The following is a 22,175-nucleotide window of genomic DNA, read 5'->3' on the forward strand; positions in this document are numbered from 1 at the left end:
GGTGACTCACACCTATAATCCCAGCATTTTGGGAGGCTAAGGAAGGAGGATCACTTCAGTCCAGAAGTTTGAAACCAGCCTGGGCAACAAAGGGAGACCCTGTTTCTTTTTCTTTTTTTTTGAGGCAGAGTCTTGCTCTGTCGCCCAGGCTGGAGTGCAGTGGCGCGATCTCAGCTCACTGCACCCTCCACCTCCCAAGTTCAAGCAATTCTCCTGCCTCAGCCTCCCAGGTGGCTGAAACTACAGGCCCGTGCCACCACACCCAGCTAATTTTTGTATTTTTAGTAGAGACAGGGTTTCATCATGTTGGCCAGGATGGTCTCGATCTACTGACCTCGTGATCCGCCCGCCTGGGCCTCCCAAAGTGCTGGGATTGCAGGCATAAGCCACCATGCCCAGCTGAGACCCTGTTTCTTAACAATAAAATAAAAAATAATAAAAATAAAAAAACGCTGGGCACGGTGGCTCCCCTGAGGTCACAAGTTTGAGACCATCCTGGCCAACGTGGTGAAACCGTCTCCTCTAAAAATACAAAGAATAGCCAGGTGTGGTGGCGGGCGCCTGTAATCCCAGCTTCTCAGGAGGCTGAGGCAGGAGAATCGCGTGAACCCGGGAGGCGGAGGTTGCAGTGAGCCAAGATCGCAGCACTGCACTCCAGCCTGGGCGACAGACCGAGACTCCATCTCCAACAAAAAATAAAAACAAACCTCAAAAAATTAGCTGGGTGCAGTGACATGCACCTGTGGTCCCAGCTACTTGGAAGGCTGAGGCAGGAGGATCCCTTGAGCCTAGCAGGTCGAAGCTGCAGTGAGGCATGTTCATGGCACTGCATTCCAGGCTGGGTGACAGAGTGAGACCCTGTCCCAAAAAAATGAAAAATAAACGAAAGCATTTGAAAACATGACCTATTTCAAAACAGTACGCCTATGAAAACTTCTATGATAAGTAAGACACAAAGACACAGCAGTAGAGAAAAACTAAGAGCTAGTTTTGGCAGGAAGAGAATACTGAGAAACAATAGCCAACCAGAAGAATGGAAGGATATAGTTCCCATTCAGAATACCAACACAGAAAGTTACCAAGGGGGACAAGGTTCCTCTTGCTGAGACCTAAAACCAATCTCTACAGCTCTGAGCAGACACCAGGGACATGTCCACAATAGCAGTAGCACACCACAGTGGCTGAGGAGATCATGGAGTCGGACAAAATACCTAGGTTCAAATACTGGCTGCATTGCCCACTAGTAGTATGATATGGTCAAGTGAGAACTTCTCTGACTCAGTTTCCTCATCTTAAAATAATACAAATAGAACTTCCTTCATAGGATTACTGTGTGAAGTAAATGTGATACTACCTGGAGTAAATGTTAGCTACTAGCTAGCTACTATCATTTATATATATGTTAGTATTTCATCCAAAAAAGATGTTTACTCCCATATCACTGATTCAGCACTTTATTCCCCAGAATACAAACTTTGTTAGCAATCCATTAAATAATTAACTTTCATACTAGTCTTTGGGTTTGTTTGTTCTTTTGCGATGGAGTCTTGTTCTGTCACCCAAGCTGGAGTGCAATGGCACGATCTCAGCTCACTGCAACCTTGAATCCGCCCCCCTGGGTTCAAGCGATTCTCCTGCCTCAGACTCCAGAGTAGCTGGTATTACAGGCGCGTGCCCCCACACCCAGCTAATTTTTTTGTATTTTTAGTAGACACGGGGTTTTACCATGTTGGCAAGGCTGTTCTCAAACTCCTGACCTCAATTGATCCATCCGCCTCGGCCTCCCACAGTGTTGGGATTACAGGCGTGAGCCACCGTGCCCTGCACATATCAATTATATAAAATACTAGTCCCTTTTTATCTTAAAGTGTTACTGCTACACATCCAACTTGACCAATCAGTTACTAAATTTAGAATAAACTGGTGGACATTTTTAAATGTGCACGGATACTATCACTTAGCAAATATCTTCACCTTAGCTAATAACAAAAAGGATTTTTTTCTCCTTAGAGTGCTAAGCATGTCTGATTCGAGATTCAGCTTTATCTGTGCTTTTATGCAGCTGTGATATGACTGACATTTAGTTTAAGAATTTTAAGATAATGATCCAGTTAGAGATACAGTTCATCAACAAATATTAAGTGTCTACTGTGTGCAGTAGACACTTAAGAACATCAGGAGAAAGAAACAGCAGTTACAAAGAAGTTAGTTTACAAGAATTTCCTTTATCTAAAAGAATGTAATCTGGGCTGAGCATGGTGGCTCATGCCTGTAATTCCAGCACTCTGGGAGGCCGAGGCAGGCAGATCACTTGAGGTCAGGAGTTCGAGACCTGACCAGCCTGGTCAACATAGTGAAACACCATCTCTACTAAAAACACAAAAATTAGCCGGGCATGGTGGCGTGCCTGTAATCCCAGCTACTCCAGAGGCTGAGACAGGAGAACACCGGAACCCAGGGGGTGAAGGTTGCAGTGAGCCGAGACTGCACCACTGCACTCCAGCCTGGGCGACAGAGTGGGACTCCGTCTCAAAACAACAAACAGTCAGGCATGGTGGCTCACGCCTGTAATTCTAGCACTTTGGTAGGCTGAGGCAGGCGGATCACAAGGTCAAGAGATTGAGACCATCCTGGCCAACATGATGAAACCCCATCTCTACGAAAAATACAAAAATTAGCTGGGCATGGTGGCGGGTGCCTGGTGGCGGGTGCCTGTAGTCCCAGCTACTCGGGAGGCTGAGACAGGAGAATAGCTTGAACCCGGAAAGTGGAGGTTACAGTGAGCCGAGGTCGTGCCACTGCACTCCAACCTGGCGAAAGAGGAGACTCCATCTCAGAAACAAACAAAACAACAACAACAAAGAATGCAATCTGTACTTTTCAACACCTACCCTTCATAGGACCTTGCTTGGTAAAGTAACCCCCACTGCAAAACCTGTAGGAAGAAGATATTTACAAAGGAATGTGCAAATTATATACAAAGCCACAAAAGTCCTTTACAAAAGCAATACACAAATAATTGAGTTGGGGGGAATTAAACAACTTTCTTGATTATCACTAGTCAAATTCAGATGGTCAATTGTCTTGATTCTCACTACAGGCTGAGTTTCCCGTATCTGAAACTTGGAACCAGAAGTGACTCAGGGTTTTTTGGATTTTGGAATACCTGTACATACATAATGAGATATCTTAGAGACTGGACCCAAGTCTAAACACAAAATACACTTATGTTTCATATACACCAGATACACATAGCCTGAAGATAGTTTTATACAGTACCTTAAAATGTGCATGAAACAAAGTTTTGACTGCATTTTGGACTGTGATCACTCACGTGAGGTCAAGAGTGGAATTTCCCACTTGTGGCATCATGTCAGTGCTGAAAGTTTCAGATTTTGAACATTTCAGATTTTGAATCTTCAGATTAGGGATGCTCAACCCATATATGGGTGTGTTTTTTTCTTTTAACCTTCAAGATAACCCATGAGTATCAAATGCTACCCATTATCCCTTTGTCACAATTTATAAACCAAGGCTTAGAAAAATGAAATACGGGCCAGGCGCGGTGGCTCATGCCTATAATCCCAGCACTTTGGGAGGCCGAGGCAGGTGGATCATGAGGTCAGGAGATAGAGACCACAGTGAAACCCCGTCTCTACTAAAAATACGAAAAAAATTAGCCGGGCGCGGTGGCAGGCGCCTGTAGTCCCAGCTACTCAGGAGGCTGAGGCAGGAGAATGGCGTGAACCCAGGAGGCAGAGCTTGCAGTGAGCCAAGATCGCGCCACTGCACTCCAGCCAGGGCAACACAGCAAGACTCCGTCTCAAAAAAAAAAAAAAAAAAAAAAAAAGAAGAAGAAAAATGAAATACAACAAAGGGAGCTTGGAATAGAATTACAAATTCAGAAGGTCTGACACCACATCACTCCAAGATCCTGTACTCCCAACCCTGTTCCAGTACTTTTCAAACTACTGATGACAACACATTAGCAGGGTGTCAAATCAATTTGGTGTATCAGGTTTTGTTTTGTTTTGAGATGGACTCTTGCTCTGTCACCCAGGATGGAGGGCAGAGGCGAGATCTTGGCTCACTGGAAGCTCTGCCTCCCGGGTTCAAGTGATTCTCCTGCCTCAGCCTCCCCAGTAGCTGGGATTATAGGCGCCCACCACCATACTCAGCTAATTTTTTTGTATTTTTAGTACAGACAGGGTTTCACCGTGCTAGCCAGGATGGTCTCCATCTCCCGACCTCGTGATCAGCCCGCCTCAGCCTCCCAAAGTGCTGGGATTACAGGAGTGAGCCACCGCACCCAGCCTACTGTATCAGCATTTTAAAATAGCTCAGTATAGGCTGAGTGCGGTGGCTCACTCCTGTAATCCCAGCACTTTGGGAGGCCAAGATGAGATCACTTGAAGCCAGGAGTTCGAGACCAGCCTGGCCAACATATACACTGGCCAACATATACATATATGTCTCTACTAAATACACAAAAAAGGTAGCTGGGCGTGGTGGCACACACTTGTAATCCCAGTTACTTGAGATGCTGAGGTGGGAGAATCACTTGAACCCAGGAGGTGGAGGTTGCCAAGATCGCACTCGTGCACTCCAGACTGGGCAACAGAGGGAGACTCCGTCTCAAAAAAAAAAAAAAGATATATATATAGTTGTATGGGTATATGTATACTAGGTCACAATGTAAACCGCATTTCTTACTGTGGGATGCAATAAAAATATTTGAAAAGCATGACTCTGATCTATATATTGCCTCCCAATAAATAAGTTAATTTGATAGGTTTCATACCATATCTTATTCATAAAAGAGAATTCCTGATCTTTAAGAGCCCATCCTTTCCACTTAAGGAAATTTCAGTGGTATCCCTAAGGTTGTCTTAACACTTGGTGAGTTCAAGCCACAACAAATTGCATCTGTCAATCAGCATATAAAAACAAAGACAACTGCAAAAACTTTAGGATTACATCATTTTAGATAGTTATTAATTGGTATTTAATGCTAAAGTAATTACTCTTAAAAATTATCTTTGGCCAGGCATGGTAGCTCAAGCCTGTAATCCCAGCAGTTTGGGAGGCCAAGCCGGTTGGTCACCTGAGGTCAGGAGTTCGAGACCAGCCTGGCCAACGTGATGAAACCCTGTATCTACTAAAAACACACAAAAAAATTAGCCAGGTATGGTGGTGGGCGCCTGTTAATCCCAGCTACTTGGGAGGCTGAGGCAGGAGAATCGCTTGAATCTGGGAGGCGGAGCTTGCAGGTGAGCCAAGGTTGCACCATTGCACTCCAGCCTCGGTGACAAGAGTGAAACACCATCTCAAAAAAAAAAAAAAATGTATCTTTACACCAACTTTAGAAAGGCAAAGCATGGGAACCCACAGAGCCTCATGGAATGTGAGGTTACTCAGTAGGACTAGCCCTGAGTGTTCTCCATCTTCACAGGTGGCAAGTCACAAATCGAAGCTCAATTTAGATGCTAAGAAATGCCTAAACATATCTGTAGCTAAACTCTGAGGGAAACCACTTTTTTCTTTTGAGACAGAGTCTCGCTGTGTCGCCAAAGCTGGAGTGCAGTGGCGCAATCTCGGCTCACTGCAACCTCTGCCTCCCAGGTTCAAGCGATTCTCCTGCCTAAGCCTCCAGAGTAGCTGGGATTATAGGTGCGGATCACCACGCCCAGCTAATTTTTTGTATTTTTAGTAGACAGGGGTTTCATCGTGTTAGCCAGGATGGTATGGATCTCCTCACCTCGTGATCCACCAGCCTCGGCCCCCTCAAAGTGCTGGGATTACAGGCGTGCACCACCAAGCTTGGCCGAGACAAACCACTTTTTAAAGCATAAAATGAATCTGCATGCTGCCCCTTTTTCAACAGTACTTTCAGTAAGGCACTTAAAACCTACAGGTTGGGCACAGTGGCTCACACGTGTAATCCCAGCATTTTGGGACGCCAAGGCAGGCAGATCACGAGGTCAGGAGATCGAGACCATCCTGGCCAACATGGTGAAGCCCCATCCCTATTAAAAATGCAAAAATTGGCCGGGCACAGTGGCTCACGCCTATAATCCCAGCACTTTGGAAGGCCGAGGCAGGCGGATCACGAGATCAAGAGATTGAAACAATCCTGGTCAAAATGGTAAAACCTCGTCTCTGCTAAAAATACAAAAATTAGCTGGGCGTGGTGGCACATGCCTGTAATCCCAGCTACTTGGGAGGCTAAGGCAGGAGAATTGCTTGAACCTGGGAGGTGGAGGTTGCAGTGAGCAGAGATCACACCACTGCACTCCAGCCTGGGCAACAAAGTGAGACTCCGTCTCAAAAAAATAAAAAATAGAAAGAAGGCTGGGCATGGTGGCTCACGCCTGTAATCCCAGTACTTTGGGAGGCGGAGGTGGGTGGATCATCTCAGGTCGGGAGTTCAAGAACAGCCTGATCAACATGCAGAAACCCCGTCTCTACTAAAAATACAAAGTTAACCAGACGTGGTGGCTCATGCTTGTAATCCCAGCTACTCGGGAGGCTGAGGCAGGAAAATGACTTGAACCCGGGAGGGGGAGGTTGCAGTGGGCCGAGATCGCGCCATTGCACTCCAGCCTGGGCAACAAGAGCAAAACTCCATCTCAAAAAATATTTAAATAAATAAATAAAAGTACAAAAATTAGCTGGGCGTGGTGGCGTGTACCTGTAATCCCAGCTACTCAGGAGGCTGAGGCAGGAGAATCACTTGAACCAAGGAGCGGGAGGTTGCAGTGAGCTCAGATCACCCCACTGCACTCCAGCCTGGTGACAGAGCAAGACAGTCTAAAAAAAAAAAAAAAATACAAAATTGCCTGACATATAACCGCATTCAATGAATGAATGAATGAATAGTAGGCCACTAACTCAGTGTCTCCCCTTCAGCAACTAAAGTGAAGATTTATTTAAGATTCTGAGGCCAGGCGCGGTGGCTCACGCCTGTAATCCCAGCACTTTGGGAGGCCGAGGCAGGCGGATCACCAGGTCAGGAGTTTGAGACCAGCCTGGCCAATATGGTGAAACCCCGTGTCTACTAAAAATACGAAAATTAGCCGGGCATGGTGGCACGCGCCTGTAGTCCCAGCTATTTGGGAGGCTGAGGCAGAATAACCGTTTTAACCCAGGAGGCAGAGGAATGCAGTGAGCCAAGGTTATGACACCGCACTCCAGCCTGGGCGAGAGAGCGAGACTCCACCTCAAAAAAAAAAGATTCTGTTGGGCGTGGTGGCTCACGCCTGCAATCCCAGCACTTTGGGAGGCCGAGGCAAGCGGATCACGAGGTCAGGAGATCGAGACTATCCTGGCTAACATGGTGAAACCCCGTCTCTACTAAAAGTACAAAAAATTAGCCGGGCGTGGCAGCGGGCACCTGTAATCCCAGCTACTTGGGAGGCTGAGGCAGGAGAATGGCGTGAACCCGGGAGGCGGAGCTTGCAGTGAGCAGAGATCGTGCCACTGCACTCCAGCCTGGGCCACTGAGCGAGACTCCGTCTCAAAAAAAAAAAAAAAAAAAAAAAAAAAAAAAAAGGATTCTGACGGGGGGGCCAAGGGCGGTGGCTCACGGCTGTAATTCCAGCACTCCGGGAGACAGAGGTGAGTGGATCACTTGAGGTCACTAGTGTGAGACCAGCCTGGCCGACATGGTGAAACCCCTTTCTGCCAACTACATAAAAAAAAATTAGCCAGGTGTGGTGGCACATGCCTGCAATCCCAGCTACTAGGGAGACTGAGGCAGGAGAATTGTTTGAACCCTGAAGGCAGAGGTTGCAGTGAGCCGAGTTCATACCACTACACTCCAGCCTGGGCAACACAGCAAGACTCCGCCTCAAAAAAAAAAAAAAAAAAAAAAAAGATTCTGAAGGGGCCAGGCACAATGGCTCATGCCTGTAATCCCACCACTTCGGGAAGCGGAGGCCAGAAGATTGCTTGAGGCCAGTAGCTGCCTCCCAACATGGTGAGACCCCCGCCTCTCAACAAAAAAATTAAAAAAAAAAAAATTAGCTGCTGTAGTGGTGCACATCTGTAGTCCCAGCTACTCCGGAGGCTGAAGTGGGACGATCGCTTGAGCCCAGGAGTTCAAGCTGCAGTGAGCTATGACCACGTCACTGCACTTCAGCTTGAGCAACAGAGTGGGACCCTGTCTCAAAAATTTAAAAATAGCATAAATATTCCAAACGCAATTATATGGAATAAGTTGGAATGGAAGATAAAAAGCAGAAGCCAGAGAAAAAAAGTAAAGTCGTCTCCCATCGGAAAAATTTTGGAAACAACTTCTTTAAAAGATGAGAGAAAATGTTCCCTTGCTTGCAAAATTAATGTCCCACTCAAGTCACCAGTAGGAAATTCTGCTATCTTCTGTGCAACGATGATAGCTTTCCCTACGCTTATGAAAATCAATTCTGATTGCTAGAAAATATGGTGGAAAATAGAATCCCTCTGTACTGTCAGCTCGCAGAATTATCTGAAAGTGTTAAGTCAATTCCTGCTAGGGCACTCCGGATGACAGTTCTCTGCACCCTTCTGGATGACTCTTTAGAAACCATATTCCATCCCTAATTCTGGCTGTCTAGAATATATGAAACATTTAACTCAACATAAAATGATAATAGCCAACTTTCAAAGGTCAAAGGGGACCAGTTTATAACCTTCCCTCAACACGTGTTCAGTACAAACTTCCGGGTGCACTTACAATTGGCTGCGCAATTCAATGGATAAAAACGTTGCTTTATTTGTCTCTCATTTTCTGGCCCGTTCTTTTCCCACGTTTCTCAACCAGCGACTCCCCAAAACAAAAGCCTCCCACAGTAAACCGAGCACGCACATAAAAAGAGCTTCTCTGTGCGAGGATCAAGTTAGTGGTCCGCAAACATTAACCAAACAGAAGCACAAAGCAGGGGTGGGAAGGGGAGGAGCTGGATGCCAGGGTCAGGAAAGAAACAATCAGAAGGGTTTAGGAACATCCAAATCTCCTCAGCGGTTAAACCGACCCCAAACCACTTCTGGGAAACCACCGGTATCCACTGCTTTGGGGAACTCTGGATGCTCGTTATGCCAAACGCTCTCAAAGTAAGCAAATCCCCAACTGCCGTTCCCCTCCATGGGTAATTCTTAGGGTCTGGGAGGTGAGCTCGCCCGCCGAGGCAGAACTAAGCGAGTCGCCTGGAGAGGCGTGAAGGGAGCCTGCACGTGTCCCCCGCGGCTTCCCCACCGCCCCAAGAGCGGGGCATGTACGAGACCGCGCTGTGGGGTTCAGATTTAGGAAGGACGACCGCGTCGCCTGCCTCCCTCCCTCGCCCAGAGCCGGGAGCAATGCTGGGGCACGAAAGAGGACTTGGGAAGGATCCGGTCCTTACTTTCCCCGCGGGTCCCGGACCCGCAGCCCCCGGGTTGTGAGGCGGAAGCCAAAGGGGCGAACCCAGCGGAGCCGGCGTGCACAGACCCTGCCCCGCGGTCCAAGAGGGGTGCCTCCGGCCCGGGACAGCGGGGCTCCCGGAGCCCGAAAGCCCCACGAGCGGCGACAGCGGGGCCCGGCGCTGACGAACAGAGGAAGCGAGTACAACGGAGCCGCCGTCGGGAACATGCCCCCGAGGGCCCCGGAGCGCGCGGCCGCGAGGAGCGGCAAGCGGCGAGGGAGGCCCCAAGCCGGGGCGAGGTGGCTGTCCCCCCAGCCTGGCCCCGCACGGCCCCCCGAGGGTGGGAGTGGGAGGCTGTCCGGGAGGGGGAGTGTGGAAGGAGAAAAGGGCCAAGGGAAGGACTTACTTTCCCCGCGGGACCCGGCGCCAGCACAGCTCCTCCCGGGAGGTGTGAGTTTGAAGGACCAGAGGCGACTGGAGCGGAGGCGGCGGTGGCGGCGGCAGCAGCGGCGTCCTGCTCTGCCTACCTCCCCGCCGCCATCTTGACGCCCCTCCCCCAGCCCCCCCGCCCCGCCGGGAGGGGCGGGGGAGGGGCAACGGATGAGGCGCCGCGCGCACGCAGCGCCCTCACGTGACTTCCTCCCTCCTCCCCCACCCGCCTCTCTGCGCCCCTCTCCGCCCCGCCTCCCTCCTAGGTGAAGGAAGATGATTTCCCCCCCATCTTGACCACCCCCCAGTCTTCGCCGCCAAAAACGGACTCCGCCGGCTATCCTCGGCCCGGTACCAGTTGTTGGATCCAAGAGAATTCCGGAACCCAAACGGTCCATTACCGCGGCTCTGGGGTGGGCGAGGGGTGAGGGGGCCGGGTTTCCGCGAAGGGGGAGGGGGAAGGCGAAGGCCACCTAGGAGAGTCACGTGACTACTGTTTCCGCCGGCGCTCACGGAGAGCTCGCGGTAATTCCGTTTCCCCGCCCTTTTTTCCCCGCGGCCTGTCGGGAAGAAGGTCCGCGTGCCAGGGCTATCGGGAGGTCGGCCGGAGGGCCGCGCGCATGCGCCCCGCGCCTGCTTTCAAACTCCGGTTAGGAAGGGCCTGGAGCTATTTTCAGAACCTGTTAGGGTGGGGAGCTACGGCCCAGGAAGTTACCTAGCAGCGTTTCTGTCACTTGGAAGATCTCTTCATTACCTAGTTAGTCCTAGAAACAAAATGTTTACATATTCATTGCTTGTTAGGCTCGCTCAAAGCACTTTATTGGCAGTGAAACCGCAAGTAACCCGGAGCCCTCGGCGCGACCACGGCTAGAATCAGAGCCTAAGGCGTGTGAGCTCAGCCATCCCACGTCTGTCTTCACGCTCATACGCAAGCCCGACACACCGGGGCTCCCACTTAATGAATACTGAAGAGTAGGGCTGTCCCTACCGCTTCTCACTTCCTTGTTTTCATCTTTTCGTTATTATTAAGCGACCTAACACAATAAACATATTACCTTGTTGGTAACCCTTTTGTAAAGTCATTCTGAAAGTGCTGTTTGACTCCGTTGCTTGGGTAATAAGCACGCCTGGGTGATTCTTGCCCCCTACTGGCTGCGCATCCTACAAGCCTAGTGCTGAAAGCAAACCAAGTAGCTGGAACAGTTGGAGGTTACAGTGTGAACTCTTCCAGAGACAAAGTATTCGGGGAAAGAAAGGAAAAAGTAGGCACAGAAAGAATAGGAAACTTCAGTGTTTGTACACATAGATATGTATTATATATCTATGTATACATTTATAAATATTTTTAAAGTGCTAACTAATCGCTTTACTAATTACATTATTTCATTTAATCCTCTCACACACATAGAAAAAAAACCTATAAAGACAAAAATAAAAAATATTTTAGGCCGGGCGCAGTGGCTCACGCCTGTAATCCCAGCACTTCGGGAGGCCGAGGTGGGCGGACCACCTGAGGTCAGGAGTTCGAGACCAGCCTGGCCAACATGGTGAAACCCCATCTCTGCTAAAAATACAAAATTTAGCTGGGGCTTGGTGGCGGGCACCTGTAATCCCAGCTACTCTGGAGGCTGAGGCAGGAGAATCGCTTGAACTCAAGAGACGGAGGTTGCAGTGAGCCGAGATCGTGCCATTGCACTGCAGCCTGGGCGACAGAGCGAGAATCCGACTCAAAAACAAAAAACAAAAAAAACCTTAGGCACAGGCCAGGTGTGGTGGCTCACGCCTGTAATCCCAACACTTTGGGAGGCTGAAACGGGGATCTCAGCCAGGAGTTTGAGACCAGACTTGGGTAACAAAGTGCAACCTCATCTCGACAAAAAAACATTTTTCTTTTTGAGACGGGGTCTCGCTCTGTCGGTCGCCCAGGCTGGAGTGCAGTAGCGCGATCTCGGCTCACTGCAACCTCTGCCTCCTGGGTTCACGCCATTGTCCTGCCTCAGCCTCCCGAGTAGCTAGGACTTTTTTTTTTTTTTTTTTGTATTTTTAGTGGAGACGGGGTTTCACCGTGGTCTCGATCTCCTGACCTCGTGATCCACCCATCTCGGCCTCCCAAAGTGCTGGGATTACAGGCGTGAGCCACCGCGCCCGGCCCAACAAAAAACTTTTAATTAGCCAAGTGTGATATATAGTCCCAGCTACTCAGGAGGCTAAGGTAGGAGAATCACTTGATTGCCCAGAAGTTTGAGGCTACAGTGAGCTATAATCGTGCCACTGCACCAGCCTGGGTAACAAAGCGAAACTATTTTTTTAATTTTTTTTTTTTTTGAGACATAGTTTCACTCTTGTTGCCCAAGCTAGTTTGTTGCAATGGCGGGATCTCAGCTCACTGCAACCTCCGCCTCCTGGGTTCAAGTGATTCTCCTGCCTCAGCCTCCTGAGTAGCTGGGATTACAGGTGCCCACCACCACGCCCGGCTAATTTTTTGTATTTTTAGTAGAAACGGCGTTTCACCATGTTAGCCAGGCTGGTCTCGAACTCCTGACCTCAGGTGATATGCCCGCCTCAGCCTCCCAAAGTGCTGGGATTACATGCGTGAGCCACTGCGTCGGGCCTTATTTATTTATTTATTTATTTATTTATTTATTTATTTATTGAGACGGGGTCTTGCTTTATCTCACCCAGGCTGGAGTGCAGCGGTGCGATCTCGGCTCACTGCAGCCTCTGCTTCCCAGGTTCAAGCAATTCTCCTGTCTCAGCCTCCCGAGTAGCCGGGACTACAGGTGTGTGCCACCACACCCAGCTGATTTTTGTATTTTTAGTAGAGAGGAGGTTTCACCATATTGGCCAGGCTGGTCTCAAACTCCTGACCTCAGGTGATCCGCCCGCCTCAGCCTCCCAAAGTCCTGGTATTACAGGCATGAGTCACTGCGCTTGGCAAAACTCTGTCTGGAAAAAAAAAAAAATTCTTAGGCTTGCAACTGACAGTGATGTTTCCACCACATTCTATTGGTTAACAAGGCAGCCAAATTCAGCTCAGGAAAGGCAACACAAGGGTATGACTAGTGGGAAGTGTTGTTCATTGGACGCTACCAAAGTAAATCATAAGGAATTTTGAGGGTGAGGGACCTTTGGGACATCCTATTGGAGATACTTAGGAAGCAATTGAATCCTACAGCTTGGGGATCCAGATGGGGATTAATGTGAGACGGGATAAAACTATACTAGGAGAGGCTGGACACGGTGGTTCACACATGTGATCCAGGCACTTTGGGAGGCAAAGGTGGGTGGATAACCTGAGGTCAGGAGTTCAAGACCAGCCTTGCCAACATGGTGAAACCCCATCTCTACTGAAAATACAAAAATTAGCCGGATGTGGTGGTAGGCACCTGTAATCTGAGCTACTTGGGAAGCTAAGGCAGGAGAATCGCTTGAACCCAGGAGGTGGAGGTTGCAGTGAGCCGAGATCATGCCACTGCACTCCAGCCTGGGCGACAGAGTGAGACTTCATCTCAAAAAAAAAAAAAAAAATACAACTAGGAGAGAATGCAGAGAGGAGAGCCAGGGGCAGAGCTGAGGTTCTGTGTCTAAGAAGTGAGCACCAGGCCAGGTGTGGTGGCTCACGTCTGTAATCCCAGCACTTTCGGAGGCCAAGGTGGGTGGATCATGAGGTCAGGAGTTTGAGACCAGCCTGGCCAACAAGGTGAAACCCTGTCTCTACTAAAAATACAAAAAATTAGCCGGGTGTGGTGGTGCACACCTGTAATCCCAGCTACTCAGGAGGTTGAGGCAGGAGAATCACTTGAACACAGGTGGCGGAAATTACAGTGAGTGGAGATGGTGCCATTGCACTCCAGCCTGGGCAACAGAGCAAGACTCTGTCTCAGCAACAACAACAAAAAAGAAATGAGCACCAGGCCGGGCACAGTGGCTCACGCCTGTATCCCAGCACTTTGGGAGGCCAAGATGGCAGGATCACGAGGTCAAGAGATCGAGACCATCCTGTCCAACATGGTGAAATCCCGTCTCTACTAAAAATACAAAAATTAGCTGGGTGTGGTGGTGTGTGCCTGTAATCCCAGCTACTCAGGAGGCTGAGGTAGGAGAATCACTTCAACTCAGGAGGTGGAGGTTGCAGTGAGCCAAGATCGAACCACTGCACTCCAGCCTGGTGACAGAGCGAGACTCCTCAAAAAAAAAAAAAGAAAGAAAGAAAGTGAGCACCCAGTGAGCATGAGAAAGGTCAATCAGAGAGGTCAAAGCAGAATCAAGGAGAGATTATATCATGGATGCAAGGGAGTAGTCATCCCAGCAACACTTCTTCACCCTGGCAGCTGCACTTCTATGCAATAGCATCAACTATACCCAGTTTGCAGTTTTCCACACACTCGCTGAATTAGCCTCATCACACCAAATCCTTCCCTGAGACACCAGGAGCAATCAGAGCCCCCATAAAGGTCACCCTCTAATTCAGAGACACTAGCACCAGCGATGTCTAATGCAGCAGAGAGCACCAGTGTGTGGCTGAAGCATCTATTGGATTATTCAAGATGGCAAACACTGTGGTAGACAGTTGTTTTTGACTGCCCAGAATCTATGGTTCTTTCTTCAGAGAGCCGCATCTTAGTTTTATCTCCCTCTCTCAAAGTCCATGTGGTTTGGAGAGCACTAACCATGTCTCATGCACATCACTCCAGATTGAGTGTGCAAGCCAGGTCTAGCTGATTAGAATACTGGATCCACAGCCATAGTGATCCGATTTGGTGCCGGGCCAGTGAGTCGCAGTTCTAATACTTTGCATTGAAAATATCAGGAAAAAGATACTCTCTTGCCTCTGATGTTGCTAAGACAGTGTTGGGAAGTTGGGGCAGAGGCCCTGTGGGGCAGGAGGCCACGCTGATAATGAGATCAACCCAGAAAACAGCAGGGCAAAGGAGTAGGTGGGGTGGGGAGGGACTGGATTCTGATGACATCTGCTGAGTCCTGGGACCCTGTCAAACCTGAAGCGATTTCTAACCCTGAGCTTTTTTGGTTTTTCAGTTTTCTTTTTTTTTTTTTTTTTTCAGACGGAGTCTCACTCCATTGCTCAGACTGAAGTGCAGTGGCATGAACTCAGCTCACTGCAACATCTGCCTCCTGGATTTAAGCAATTCTCTGTCTCAGCCTCCCAAGTAGCTGGGACTACAGGCACCTGCCATCATGCCTGGCTAATTTTTGTATTTTTAGTAGAGACGGGGTTTCACCTTGTTGGTCAGGCAGGAGGTCTCAAACTCCTGACCTCAGGTGATCCACCCACCTCGACCTCCCAAAGTGCTAGGATTACAGGTGTGAGCCACCGCGCCTGGCCCTGGTTTTCTTTTTATAGAGACAAGGTCTCACCATGTTGCCCAGGCTGGTCTCTAACTCCTGGGCTCAAGTGATCCTACTACTCTGGCCTCTGAAAGTGCTGGGATTACAGGTGGGAACCACTGTGCTCAGCCTTAACTTTTTTGATATAAGAGTCAATACAGGGGGGAAGGGGGAGGGGAGGGATAGCATTAGGAGATATACCTAATGTAAATGACGAGTTAATGGGTGCAGCACACCAACATGGAGCATGTATACCTATGTAACAAACCTGCATGTTGTGCACATGTACCCTAGAACTTAAAGTATAGTAAAAAAAAAAAAAAAAGAGTCAATACAAAAATAAAAAGAAAAAACAAGAGTCAATACAGGCTGGGCTGGGCGCAGTGGCTCACACCTGTAATCCCAGCACTTTGGGAGGCCGAGGTGGGTGGATCACCTGAGGTCAGGAATTCAACACCAGCCTGGCCAACATGGTGAAACCCTGTCTCTACTAAAAATACAAAAAATTGGCCGGGCGCAGTGGCTCACGCCTTTAATCCCAGCACTTTGTGAGACTGAGGCGGGTGGATCACGAGGTCAGAAGTTCAAGACCAGCCTGGCCAAGATGGTGAAACCCCGTCTCTACTAAAAATACAAAAATTAGCCAGGCACGATGGCAAGCACCTGTAATCCCAGCTACTCAGGAGGCTGAGGCAGGAGAATCCCTTGAACCCGGCGGGGTGGAGGTTGCAGTGAACCTTGATCACGCCACTGCACTCCAGCCTGGGTGACAGAGTGAGACTCCATCTGAAAAAAAAAAAAAATTAGCTGGGCGTGGTGGTGGGCACCTGTAATCCCAGCTACTCGGGAGGGTGAGGCAGGGGAATCACTTGAACCCAGGAAGTGGAAGCTGCCGTGAGCCGAGATCGTGCCACTGCACTCCAGCCTGGGCTACAGAGGGAGACTCGGTCTCAAAAAAAAAAGAGAGAGAGTCAATACAGGCGAGGCACGGTGGCTCACTCCTGTAATCCCACCACTTTGGGAGGCCAAGGCAGGTGGATCACCTGGGGCTAGGAGTTCGAGACCAACCTGGCCAACATGGTAAAAACCCGTCTCTACTAAAAACCCACACAAAAAAATTAGCTGGGCATGGTGGCAGGCGCCTGTAATCCCAGCTACTCGGGAGGCTGAGGCAGGAGAATCGCTTGAACCCTGGAGGCAGAAGTTGCAGTGAGCTGAGATTGTGCCACTGCACTCCAGCCTGGGTGACAGAGGGAGACTCAGTCTCAAAAAAAAAAAAAACAGACCAGGGGCTGAGTGTGGTGACTCACGCTGGTAATCCCAACACTTCGGGAGGCCAAGGCAGGAGGATTCCTTGAGGCCAGGAATTTAAGACCAGCCTGTGCAACATAGTGAGACCCCATCTCTACAAAGATAAAATCAAGAAAATTAGCTGGGCATGGTGGCACACATGTATGGTCCCAGGTACTCAAGAGGCTGAGGCACAGAATCCCCTGAGCCCAGGAAGTCGATGCTGCAGTGAACCATCTTTGTGCCACTGCATGAACTCCAGCCTGGGTGACAGTGAAATCCTGTCTTGAAGAAATAATAAATAGCTCCCTCTCTCCCCCTCCCCCTCCCCCTCCCTCTCCCTTCTTTCTTCAGTCTCCCTCTGTTGCCGAGGCTGGACTGTACTGCCGTGGTCTCGGCTCGCTGCAGCCTCCCTGCCCCGGGCTCCCGTGGTTCTCCTGCCTTGGCCTGCCGAGTGCCTGAGATTGCGGGCGTGCGCTGCCACGCCTGACTGGTTTTTGTATTTTTGGAGGAGACGGGGTTTCGCCCTGTTGACCGGCCCGGTCTCCAGCTCCTGACCTCGAGTGGTCTGCCCGCCTCAGCCTCCCGGGGTGTTGGGATTGCAGACGGAGTCTCGCTCACTCAATGCTCACTGTTGCCCAGGCTGGAGTGCAGTGGCGTGATCTCGGCTCGCCACAACCTCCACCTTCCAGCCGCCTGCCTTGGCCTCCCAAAGTGCTAAGATTACAGCCTCTGCCCGGCCGCCACCCCGTCTGGGAAGTGGGGAGCGTCTCTGCCCGGCCGACCATCGTCTGGGATGTGGGGAGCCCCTCTGCCCGGCCACCCTGTCTGGGAAGCGAGGGGCGCCTCTGCCCGGCCGCCGCCCCGTCTGGGAGGCGGGGGGTGCCTCTGCCCGGCCGCCACCCCGTCTGGGAAGTGAGGAGCGCCTCTGCCAGGCCGCCCCATCTGGGAAGTGTACCCAACAGCTCCGACGAGTCAGCGACCATTGAGAATGGGCCATGATATCGATGGCGGTTTTGTCGAAAAGAAAAGGGGGAAATGTGGGGAAAAGAAAGAGAGATCAGATTGTTACTGTGTCTGTGTAGAAAGAAGTTGACATAGGAGACACCATTTTGTTCTGTACTAAGAAAAATTCTTCTGCCTTGGGATGCTGTTAATTTATAACCTTAACCCCAACCCCGTGCTCTCTGAAACATGTGCTGTGTCAACTCAGGGTTAAATGGATTAAGGGCGGTGCAAGATGTGCTTTGTTTAAACAGATGCTTGAAGGCAGCATGCTCCTTAAGAGTCATCACCACTCCCTAATCTCAAGTACCCAGGGACACAAACACTGCTGAAGGCCGAAGGCCGCAGGGACCTCTGCCTAGGAAAACCAGAGACCTTTGTTCACGTGTTTATCTGCTGACCTTTTCTCCATTATTATCCTATGACCCTGCCACATCCCCCTCTCTGAGAAACACCCAAGAATGATCAATAAATACTAAAATAATAATAATAATAAATAAATTAAAAGTCAATACCTTCCCTTATTTTCTTGAATCAGATTGAGTTGAGTTTCCCTTGTATGCAATCCAAAACAATCCGGAACAATACAGATACTAACTAAATTACAATGTTGAAAGTTTCAATTATAAATTTAAATTAAGCTTTACAAGTTTTTATCGGCCCCAATTATCTACCTTTTTTGAGTATGGACTGATATTAACTCAAATTGTCCCAAGAAAGTAGGCTTTCCCACTGTCTGTTGTCTGTTGCCCAGGCTGAACTGGAGCACAGTGGCGCGATCATAGCACCTGTAGTCCCAACTACTCGAGACCCTGCCTCAAAAAAAAAAGTTAGAGACCATCCTGGCCAACATGGTGAAACCCCGTCTGTATGTACTAAAAATACAAATATTAACCAGGCATGGTGGCATGCACATGTGATCCCAGCTACTCGGGTGGCTGAGGCAAGAGTAGCTGGGATCACAAAATCGCTTGAACCTGGGAGGCAGAGGTTGCAATGAGCCGAGATCATGCCACCAGGCAACAGAGTGAGACTCTGTCTCAAAAAAACAAACAAACAAACAAAAAAACAAAACCCATGGACGATTTTTATGTTTTTATAATGGAAACATTGCTGTTAATGTTTGTAAACTTTCCCTTAAAAAATCACATTTAAAATATCTAAACACTTTGTTTTGTTTTTTGAGACAGGGTCTTGCTCTGTCACCCAGGCTGGAAGAAGTGGTGAGATCATGGCTCACTGCAGCCTCGAACTCAGGGGCTCAAGCAATCATTTCAACCTCAGCCTCCTGAGTAACTGGGACTACTGGGCTAATTTGTAAATTTTTTTTTCTTTCTTAGACTGAGTCTCACTCTGTCACCCAGTCTGGAGTGCAGTGGCATGATCTCAGCACACTGCACCTCCTGGCCTCAAGTGATTCTCCTGCTTCAGCCTCCTGAGTATCTGGGATTACAGGTGCCTGCCAGCCATGCCAGGCTAATTTTTTTTTTTTTTTTTAGACAGCATCTCACTCCGCCACCCAGCCTGGAGTGCAGTGGTGCGATCTCGGCTCACTTCAACCTCTGCCTCCCAGGTTCAGGCGATTCTCCTGCCTCAGTGTCCCGAGTAGCTGAAATTACAGGCGTATGCCACCACACCCGGCTAATTTTTGTATTTTTAGTAGAGACAGGGTTTTGCCATGTTGACCAGTCTGGTCTCAAGCTTCTGACCTGAAGTGATCCGCCCACCTTGGCCTCCCAAAACGTTGGGATTACAGGCATGACTCACTGTGCCTGTCCAAATTTGTAACTTTTTTTATGGAGACAAGGTCTCGCTGTGTCACCCAGGCTGATCTTGAATTCCCGGCCTCAAGTGATCCTCCCCCTTTAGCTTCCCAAAGCACTGGTATTACAGGTATGAGCCACCACACCTGGCCTTAAAATACCTAAATTAGGCCAGGCGCGGTGGCTCATGCCTGTAATGACAGCAGTTTGGGAGGCCGAGGCGGGTGGATCACCTGAGGTCCGGAGTTCAAGACCAGCCTGACCAACATGGAGAAACCCCGTCTCTACTAAAAATACAGAATTAGCTGGGCGTGGTGGCACATGCCTGTAATCCCAGCTACTCAGGAGGCTGAGGCAGGAGAATCACTTGAACCCAGGAGGCAGAAGTTGCGGTGAGCGGAAATCGCACCATTGCACTCCAGCCTGGGCAACAAGAGCAACACTCTGTCTCAAAAAAAAAAAACACCTAAATTATTTTTTAATAACACTCTTGCTGTGGGTTGCATTATGTCCCCCACAATTTCGTATGTTGAAGTCATATCCTAACCCCCAGTACCTCAGAATGCGACCTTATTTGGAGATGTTCTTACAGATCTAATCAAGTTAAAATGAGGTCATTGGCCTTAATCCAACGTAACAGTGTTGTAGAGGGAGAACACTATGTGAAGATGCAGGCGCAGATCTGGGTGATACTTCTACCTTCTACGAGCCAAGGAATGTCCGATTGTCTGCTCACCGCCAAAAGCTACGGGAGAGGCATGCGAGGGACCACTGCTCATAGCATTTGGAGGAACCAACCCGCCAACACCTTGATTTTGAACTTCTGCCCCCCAGAACTGTATGACAATACATTTCTGTGGCTTAAGCCACTTAGTTTGCAGTACTTTGTTATGGTAACCAGCAAATCATACATCTATTAAGAACATCTCCCAGAACCAAAATGATGATATTCATTCATTCCTTCAAACTCACCAATTTAAGATTAAAAAAAGAAAGAAAGCCTACACAGGAAAAAATTAAGAAAAATCACATTCTGGGCCGGGTGCCATGGCTCACACCTGTAATCCCAGAATGCTGCGAGGTGGAGGCGGGCAGATCATTTGAGACCAAGAGTTCGAGACCAGCTTGGGCAACATGGCAAGACCCTGTCTCTACAAAAATTGCAAAAAATAGCCAGATATGGTGGTGTACGCCTATCACCCCAGCCACTCGGGAGGCTGAGGTGGGAGGATCACTTGAGCTTGGGAGGTTGAGGCTGCAGTGACCTGTGATGGCACCACTGCACCACAGCCTGGGTAACATTGCAAGACCCTGTCTTAAAAACAAACAAAAAACAAAAACAAACTGCCCGTGCTCATCAATAAATACATTTTCCATGTGATTTTATAATAAAATGATAATTTTTATTTTTATTTATTTGTATTTATTTTGAGACAGAGTCTCGCTCTGTTGCCCAGGCTGGAGTGAAGTGGCATGATCTCGGTTCACTGCAACCTCCGCCTCCCGGGTTCAAGCGATTCTCCTGTGTCAGCCCCGCAAGTAGCTGGGACTACAGGTGCATGCCACCACGCTCGGCGAATTTTTGTATTTTTAGTAGAGACGGGGTTTGGCCATGTTGGCCAGGCTGGTCTCAAACTCCTGACCTCAAACAATCCACCTGTCTTGGCCTCTCAAAGTGGTGGGATTACAAGCATGAGCCACTGCACTTGGCCATAAAATAATTTTTTTTTTTGAGATGGAGTTTCACTCTTGTTGCCCAGACTGGAGGGTCGGCCAGATCTCGGCTCACCCCAACTTCCTCTTCCCGGGTTCAAGTGATTCTCCTGCCTCAGCCTCCCAAATAGCTGATATTTTTAGTAGAGACAGGGTTTCTCCATGATGGTCAGGCTGGTTTCGAACTCCTGACCTCAGGTGATCTGCCCACCTTGGCCTCCCAAAGTGCTGGGATTACAGGTGTGAGCCACCACGCCCGGCCTATTTTTTTGTATTTTTTTAGTAGAGATGGGATTTCACCATGTTAGCCAGGATTGTCTCGATCTCCTGACCTCGTGATCCACCTGCCTTGGTCTCCCAAAGTGCTGGGATTACAGGCACGAGCCACTGTGCCCTGACTTTTGTTTTTGTTTTTGTTTTTGTTTTTTTTGAGACAGAGTGTTGCTCTTGTTGCCCAGGCTAGAGTGCAATGGCGTGATCTCGGCTTGTTGCAACCTCTGCCACCCAGGTTCAAGCAATTCTCCTGCCTCAGCCTCCCGAGTAGCTGTGATTACAGGCATGCACCACCAGACCTGGCTAATTTTGTATTTGTAGTAGAGACGGGGTTTCTCCATGTTGTTCAGGCTGGTCTTGAACTCCAGACTTCAGGTGATCTGCCCGCCTCGGCCTCCCAAAGTGCTGGGATTACAGGCGTGAGCCACAGGCCTGGCCCTGGCCTGATAATTTTTAAAACTGTAAGGAATTCCCAATATATTGTACAACTAGTTTGATAATGCCTTTCCTTTAAGAGAAAATGTGAGGAGAAAAGTAGCTATATCCATTTGACAGAGAAGCAAAAAGCCTGATTGTGCATAAAAGCTATTTGGGGTTGAATGCAGTAGCTTACACCTGTAATTGTAGTACTTTGAGAGGCCGAGGTGGGAGTCGGCTTGAACCCAAGAGTTCAAGATAAGCAACATGGCGTGACCCTGTCTTTTTTTTTTTTTTTTTTGAGATGGAGTCTCACACTCTTGTCACCCAGGCTGAAGTGCCGTGGCATGATCTCAGCTCACTGGGGTTCAAGTGATCATCCTGCCTCAGCCTCCTGTGTAGCTGGAATTGCAAGTGTGTGCCACCACATCTAATTGTTTTTTGTTTTGTTTTGTTTTGTTTTGAGATGGAGTCTTCACTCTGTCACCCAGGCTGGAGTGCAGTGGTGCGATCTCGGCTTACTGCAAGCTCTGCCTCCTGGGTTCACGCCATTCTCCTGGCT

At 49.1% G+C, this 22,175-nt stretch overlaps 1 protein-coding gene, 1 long non-coding RNA gene and 1 other non-coding gene across 5 annotated transcripts in view, besides 8 other annotated features; 1 reads left to right on the forward strand and 2 right to left on the reverse strand.

Annotated features, from left to right (window-relative positions):
- SBNO1 (strawberry notch homolog 1) overlaps positions 1 to 9,930 on the reverse strand; it is a 75,739-nt gene extending 65,809 nt beyond the window's left edge. For both annotated transcript variants that reach the window (NM_018183.5, NM_001167856.3), the window contains exon 1: positions 9,784 to 9,930. The gene's annotated coding sequence lies outside the window, so the exon portion shown is untranslated. The remainder of the gene's footprint in view (positions 1 to 9,783) is intronic.
- Positions 8,596 to 9,314: an enhancer, noted in NCBI's record as "H3K27ac hESC enhancer chr12:123848060-123848778 (GRCh37/hg19 assembly coordinates)". NCBI's record gives its function as "activates a minimal SCP1, AML or CMV promoter by ChIP-STARR-seq in naive H9 embryonic stem cells {active_cell/tissue: H9 hESC(naive)}" and the evidence as "EXISTENCE:reporter gene assay evidence [ECO:0000049][PMID:30033119]".
- Positions 8,971 to 9,020: an enhancer, noted in NCBI's record as "active region_7259". NCBI's record gives its function as "activates an Ori minimal core promoter by ATAC-STARR-seq in GM12878 lymphoblastoid cells {active_cell/tissue: GM12878}" and the evidence as "EXISTENCE:reporter gene assay evidence [ECO:0000049][PMID:35858748]".
- Positions 9,501 to 9,610: a silencer, noted in NCBI's record as "silent region_5037". NCBI's record gives its function as "represses an Ori minimal core promoter by ATAC-STARR-seq in GM12878 lymphoblastoid cells {active_cell/tissue: GM12878}" and the evidence as "EXISTENCE:reporter gene assay evidence [ECO:0000049][PMID:35858748]".
- Positions 9,651 to 9,730: a silencer, noted in NCBI's record as "silent region_5038". NCBI's record gives its function as "represses an Ori minimal core promoter by ATAC-STARR-seq in GM12878 lymphoblastoid cells {active_cell/tissue: GM12878}" and the evidence as "EXISTENCE:reporter gene assay evidence [ECO:0000049][PMID:35858748]".
- Positions 9,841 to 10,080: a silencer, noted in NCBI's record as "silent region_5039". NCBI's record gives its function as "represses an Ori minimal core promoter by ATAC-STARR-seq in GM12878 lymphoblastoid cells {active_cell/tissue: GM12878}" and the evidence as "EXISTENCE:reporter gene assay evidence [ECO:0000049][PMID:35858748]".
- MIR8072 (microRNA 8072) lies at positions 9,847 to 9,926 on the reverse strand. Its single transcript, NR_107039.1, has one exon. It is a non-coding gene; the product is annotated as a microRNA 8072 (primary transcript).
- SBNO1-AS1 (SBNO1 antisense RNA 1) lies at positions 10,031 to 10,887 on the forward strand. Of its 2 annotated transcripts, none has more exons than NR_157805.1 (2): positions 10,031 to 10,219; positions 10,608 to 10,887. It is a non-coding gene; the product is annotated as an SBNO1 antisense RNA 1 (long non-coding RNA). The 2 variants fall into 2 exon arrangements; NR_157806.1 differs by having other exon boundaries at positions 10,031 to 10,198.
- Positions 10,211 to 10,310: a silencer, noted in NCBI's record as "silent region_5040". NCBI's record gives its function as "represses an Ori minimal core promoter by ATAC-STARR-seq in GM12878 lymphoblastoid cells {active_cell/tissue: GM12878}" and the evidence as "EXISTENCE:reporter gene assay evidence [ECO:0000049][PMID:35858748]".
- Positions 10,481 to 10,690: an enhancer, noted in NCBI's record as "active region_7260". NCBI's record gives its function as "activates an Ori minimal core promoter by ATAC-STARR-seq in GM12878 lymphoblastoid cells {active_cell/tissue: GM12878}" and the evidence as "EXISTENCE:reporter gene assay evidence [ECO:0000049][PMID:35858748]".
- Positions 15,716 to 15,889: a silencer, noted in NCBI's record as "fragment chr12:123855180-123855353 (GRCh37/hg19 assembly coordinates)". NCBI's record gives its function as "represses an EF-1alpha promoter that drives an FKBP-Casp9 reporter gene in an ReSE screen in phorbol 12-myristate 13-acetate-treated (for megakaryocytic differentiation) K562 erythroleukemia cells {active_cell/tissue: K562(+PMA)}" and the evidence as "EXISTENCE:reporter gene assay evidence [ECO:0000049][PMID:32094911]".

The sequence above is a fragment of the Homo sapiens genome, chromosome 12 (assembly GCF_000001405.40).
Source record: "Homo sapiens chromosome 12, GRCh38.p14 Primary Assembly".
Taxonomy (NCBI): domain Eukaryota; kingdom Metazoa; phylum Chordata; class Mammalia; order Primates; family Hominidae; genus Homo; species Homo sapiens.